The sequence below is a fragment of the Homo sapiens genome, chromosome 20 (genome assembly GCF_000001405.40).
Source record: "Homo sapiens chromosome 20, GRCh38.p14 Primary Assembly".
Classification (NCBI taxonomy): domain Eukaryota; kingdom Metazoa; phylum Chordata; class Mammalia; order Primates; family Hominidae; genus Homo; species Homo sapiens.
In genome coordinates this window covers 24,193,113-24,199,756 of record NC_000020.11, presented here as the reverse complement: position 1 = coordinate 24,199,756, position 6,644 = coordinate 24,193,113, and positions in this window count along the sequence as shown.

Below are 6,644 nucleotides of genomic sequence, written 5' to 3'. Positions count from 1 at the left end.
AGCAGCCCCTGGCCATCTGGAAGGAAGACTACACTTCCCAGCCTCCCTTGCACTCAGGCGTGTCCAGGGATATAAAAGCACAGGAATGCAACAGCATTCAAGGCCTCCCCGAAGACACAGCTGATGAGCGCCTTTGTGATTTTTCTACCATGTTCCTTCTCCCCTTAATCCTACTGCCTGGAAAATAAAAGGGCTGCCATAGGCCATAAATTTGAGGTCATGCTCAGCAGAGAAACAGGATAGGGAAGGTGGGTAGCTGGCACAGTGGAGGGTCATGGCTGTCTCAGACTTCTGGACGTTCATGTGAGAGTGGAACACACTTATGCCTTGTTTGAGCCTCTGATAAATCTGCCTGTCCTTTGTAACTGAACCAATCCTGACTGATTCAGTTCCCGCCTCCTATTTGGGGAAGCCAGGCTTCTATGTCCTGCGGGAGAGCTGCAGTCCATCTGGTGGCTAAAGCCCCGGGTTCTAGAGTTAGACTGCTGTGCTCAGGCTCCAGTGTTGCAGCACGGCAGGTGGTTGCTAATAGAAGGACAGACAGGCTTTGGTGCCAGAAGACCTCTCCAAACCAGTTCCTTCCATTCCCTTCTCCCAGGAACTTATTTGTAAGATCATGGTTTTCTGAGAAAGAAGGATGCATCTCACCTTGCTGGCTGTTGTGAGACATTGAGCAGGTAAGCAGTGCCTGGCACAAGGGCCAGCATACAAAGACACTCACTGGCTTGGGCTGCATTTGAGAAACAGATCCTTGTGTATCTTCACTTGGGATTGTGCATTGCACATACTGGTCTCTGTGTCTGACTCTCTTTGTAGTTGTCTGTGAGTCTCAGCCAGTCCTCTCAATACCTGTGATGGCCCCACCAGACAAGACTAACTGACAGGCAGGCAGATGATGGGAGAGTCTGGAGTTTTTCACTGACAGTGAGATCCACAGCTGATTGCAGATTGCTAGACGAGTGTGGACAGAGGAAAGTGAAGGTCTGTCATCTGAGTGACAGTGTTTTTCCCCAAGTGTTTGCCATGAACACTAATAGTTTACCTGAGTGATATGGCAGCTTTACCTTATTTAAAGGGAAGGTAGTGTGTACTTCACCATTTCAGGTCTATGCATTGTGCCAAATTGTGTTGGTTTAAACTCATTATGATATTTAAAAGTTCTAAAAGAAAGTTGGTTTTTGAATTAGCGATGTGTGAGATTAGCAAATTATGTAAAAATTGAATGAGTGGTCGTTTATAAGGAACGAATCTTCTAAAAATATTTGATAGGGCCATCTACATGCACCTAATAGCTACAGTACCACACACCTGCCTGCTGTTATTATTCTCTGTGTGAGTTTATTTTTATTATTATTTTTTTAGATGGAGTCTCACTCTGTCCCTAGGCTGGAGTGCAGTGGCGCGATCTCAGCTCACTGCAACCTCTGCCTCCCAGGTTCAAGCGATTCTCCTGCCTCAGCTTCTTGAGTAGCTGGGACTACAAGTGCATGCCACCACGCCCAGCTAATTTTTGTATTTTTAGTAGAGACGGGGTTTCAACATATTGGCCAGGATGGCCTTGATCTCTTGACCTCATGATCCACCTGCCTCAGCCTCCCAAAATGCTGGGATTACAGGTGTGAGCCACTGCGCCTGGCCATGTAAGTACTTTTATCCTGGTTAGCAGCACATTGTACAATAGTACCAATGTGTGAAAAGCCTACTTTACCGCAAACTAAACAACACGTCTCTATGCTTGTCCTATCCTCCTCGTAAAGAAGCTGTTCTGTTGTTGATGAAGTCATTCTGCTTGGCTATCTCTGGATGATATATCAGAATATACTGCCCCTGACCTCTGAGTAGGTGAGATGATGTTTAATGCTGCTCATTGTGAAATATCAGTGGAGAAAGAAAGGCAGACCACTCTAAAATGCAGAGAGATGGCTCTAGGAAGCCTCAATGTCTCAGAGACTGGAAGTCTGACAGCAGATGCATCATTTTTTTCTGACCAAAATGGATTGATTCTGTCACTAGCAAACTAAATGCAATCAGGATTTTGACTTGAATCATAAATTGTATTTAAATTACAGTTAGCAGGGAATTGAGGCTGGACATCAGTGCAAAGGAGTTTACAGAAATATGTAAGTAGTTACCTGTTTCCTTAGGACTCAAAGGGCTTCTTTTGAAATACCCTAATAGATATACATCTGCCTATTAAAACTCTGTGTGTGTTTGAGAGCCAGAGAAGACAAAGTGCCATTTTGGTGATCACATTTAGTCAAACTGGAGCTTATTATGGGCCCTTCAAATGTCACTGAACACCAGACTAAAAAAATTCTCTTTTTGGGAGGTGGGGACAGTCAATTGTTTAATGGAGAAAGGTTCAGTCCTGGTCAACTATTACACCAGAAAAAGAATAGAAACCATTCCCTGCCTAGCTGTAAGCTCTACATGCATTAATTAGTACCTTTACTGAGAGAGGATACATTCTCATCCTGGCCATCTTTCATAAAACGTCCCCTTTTAAGTGAGGGCAGATGACTTGCTAATTAGGTGTTTAAAATTGTGCCAACCCTCAGGAAGGCACAACTCAGAAAGAAACCCTCCCAGGGTGGGTATCTTACCATGTAGCTATATTATGGCAATTATATTATTTTCTGTAGATTTAAAATTTTATTAAAGACATACACTATCAGAGTAAAAAAAAGTCCAACTAAGCACTATCTGCAGACAACAGACTTAAGACTAAATGATATAATAAGATGAAGGGGAAAGTGTAGGAAAATATATATCAACTAATCACCAAGTACGCGAAAGATGGGGATGCTATACTAATATCATGCAAAATATGTTTTTACCAAAAATATTATTAGAGATAAAGATAGATATTTTTAAAGGAGAAAATGTAAATCTACCAGGAAGCTATCATGATTGGAATACACATAAGCCTAAAAACAGAGCCCCCAAACACACAAAGCAACAATTCTGAATTGAAGGGATAGATGCATAATAAAAAATAGTTGTAAATGTCAATACCCCTCTTTCTATAATGGGTAGAATAACCTGGTAGAAGATCGATAAGGAAATGGAAGACTCAAACACTATAAATCAACTGGAACTGATAGACACATATAGTACATTTGACCAAATGGCAGCAAAATACCTATACTTCTCAAGTGCACAAAGAACATTTCCAAGGATAAACCACATGCTAGGTCATTAAAAGAACACCAAAAAGTTTTAAATGATTGAAATATTATAACATATAGTCTCCAACAACAATAGAATGAAATTAGAAATCAATTAGGTAAATTTTTAGAAATGTGGAAATTAAAGAACACACTTCTAAGCAACAAATGGGTCAAAGAAGATATCAAAAGGTAAATTAGAAAATACTTAGAGATGAATGAAAATGAAGATGTAGTATACCAGACCTCACAAGAAAAAGCTAAAGCCATGCTTAGAGAGAAATTTATGTATAATTCCTATATTAAAAAGAAGAAAAAATTCAAATCAAAGAACACCTTAAGATACTGTAAAAAGAAGAGCAAACTAAACACAAAGCAAACAAAAGGAAGGAAACAATAGGGATTAGAGCATGAATCAATAAAATTAAAAATATAGAAAATAAACAAAGCAACAGTTGGTGCTTTGACAAAATCAACACATTTGACCAAGTTTTAACTAGACAAGTCACATATTAATTAATTCAAGAATGAAAGAGAGGATATCATTACTGACCTTACAGAAATAAAAAAGATTATAATGGAAAACTATGAACAACAGAATACCAACAGAAAAATATAACTTAAACAGCCCTCCTTGGTAGGAGTGATTGATCTCTACTACCAATTTCTTCTTGGTAGTAAGGATCAATCACTTCAGTTAGTACAGTAACTATCATATTTCCTATTGATACAGGGGCCTGAGGTCCCCAAAGTTAAGTAGTCCTAACTTTCAGTTCAGGGGAAATACCATTGTGTCTCCCAGTGGAAATATTCTTCTCCTTGGCACTAAGCCACCTGGGCCTGCAGAGAATAAGGTCGTAGGAACAGGAAGCAAACATTTTGCTGGTGGGTCACTAGGGATAATAGTGAATGGCACCTCTTCTACCCCCACCCCTGAATTCCTGGACCTGTGAATCTTGGCTATGGAAGATACAGCACCTTTTATTGAATGCCAATTCAGAGCATATACAGCCTCTTGAAGAACCTTGTTCCAGCCCTGAAAGGTATTCCCGCCTAACTGGCATGGTAACCAATCTTCAAAAGACGATTTCAAGGTTCTATAACATAGCTGCTTCAGGATGGCAATTTCCATGAGCGTGGGTCCTTGGCCACACTTCATTGGTTGTGAAGTGAGTTCCTTGATTAGAAGCAATGTTGTGTGGAATATCATGATGGTGGATAAGGCATTCTGTAATTCCATAAATGACAGTTTTGCCTGAAGTACTGTATTCAGGGAAACAGATCCCTATCCAAACTAAGTGTCTATTCCATTAAGTATAAAATACCACCCTTTTGTTGACAGAAGCGGTCCAATGTAATCTACCTGCCACGAGGTATCTGACTGATCACCCCAGAGAATGGCGCCTTATTAGGGGCTCAGTGTTGGTCTCTCCCTGCTCCTGGCAGATTACAAACTCAGTAGTAGCTGTGAGGAGGTCAGCCATGGTGAGTGGAAGTCCATGTTGCTGATCCCATGCATAACATCCCTCCCTGCCACCATAGCCACTTTATTCCTGAGCTCATTGGGTGATGACAGGGATGGCTAAAAAAAGAGGCTGACTGGTATGTACAGAGAAAGTTATCCTACTCCATTTATTAAAGTTATCCTATCACATTTATTAAAATTGTTAGCTGAAGTCGTCCTTTGGAAAGCATTCACTTGGGACACAAATGTCTTTGTGCCCATTCATAGAGGTCTATCCATATACTCTTTCCCAATTTCCTTGTCACATATTTTCCATTCATGCTCCTTCCAAGTTCCTGACCATCCACCAAACCTCTGGCTGCAGCCCATGAATCAGTATGCAATCACACATCTGGCCACTTCTCCTTCCAAGCAAAGTGCACAACCAGGTACACTGCCTAGAGTTCTGCCCATTGGAAAGATTTTCCTTCACCACTGCCCTTCAAGGGTATTTCAGGAAAAGGCTGTAGGGCTGCGGCATTCCACTTTCAGGCATTGCGTGTATAGCATGCAGAACTGTCTGTAAACCAGGCCCAAGACTTCTCTTCATCTGTCGACTGATCCTGGAAACTCCCAATTAGGCCATAAATGTAGGCTGGGAGAGAGAACGCAGTGCAGCAGGAGTAGAAAACATGGTCATTTCGGGGACTTCTTCCTGTTACATACTTGTGCCTTCAGGGCCTGCCTGGGTTGGTCTCATGCAGACAGCACTTCCATTTGATGACAGTGTTGTTTGCTTGCCCAACTTTATGGCTTGGTGGGTAAGATGACACCCAGCTCATTATGGGCTGCTCAGGTTGCACAATAACTTAGTGACCCATGGCTTATTTTCTGCTAAGGCCCAGTAGCAGTCCACATCCTGATTCTCAAAGGAAGTAGTTATCCACAAAGGATGGCCAGGCTTTGCTTCAAAATCCTAAGGCCTACACTGTAATTCATATGTAGGAGACTGTCAAAGGCTCCAAACAGCATCCCTATGTGCCAAGGTCACTTCAAGTAATATTGGATCTGCTGAATCATATGGCCCAATTGGCAGACCAATTTGCACAGCAGCCTGTACCTATTGCAGAGTCTTCTTTTGTTCAGAGCCCCACTGAAAACTAGTAGCTTTTAAGGTGATTCAGTAAATAGGCTGGGGTAGTGCACCCAAATGAGGAATGTGTCACCCTCCCAAATTCAAAGAAGCTCGGTATGCTTTGTGCCTTCTTTTGAGTTATAGGAGGGGCCAGATGCAACAACTTATCTTTCACATTAGAAGGAAAATCTCAACATATCCTACATCAATGAACTCCTAAAAATTCTACTAAGGTATGAGGCCCCTGAATTTTTGTTAAATTTATTTCCAACCCTCTGGCATGCAAATGTCTTTTCAATAAGTCTAGAATAATTGTTACCTCTTGCTCACTAGTTCCAATCAGTATAATATTATCAATGTATTGGACCAGAGTGATATCTTGTGAAATGGAAAGGTAACCAAAGTCCCTGTGAACTAAATGATGACATAGGGCTGCAGAGTTGATACACCCCTGAGGTAGGACAGTGAAGATGTATTGCTAGCCTCAGGAGCTAAATGCAAACTGCTTCTGGTGGTCTTTATTTGCAGGGATGGACATAAATACATTTGCCAGATCAATAGCAGCATACCAGGTACCTCAGGATGTGTTAATTTCCTTAAGTAGTGAAATCACATCTGGTACAGAAGCTGCAATTGGAGTCAACATCTAATTAAGCTTAAAATAATCCACTGCCATTCTCCAAGATCTGTCTTATGCACTGGCCAAATAGGTGAGTTGGAGATGCAGTGAAAATTAATGCCCCTGCATTTTTGAAGTCCTTGATGGTGGTGCTAATTATTTAAATTCCTCTAGAATGTAGTCTTGCTTTTGCTTTACTATTTTTCTAGGTAGAAACCATTCTAGTGGCTTCCACTTGGCCTTCTTCATTATAATTTTTCCCTCACCCCATAGGTCAGG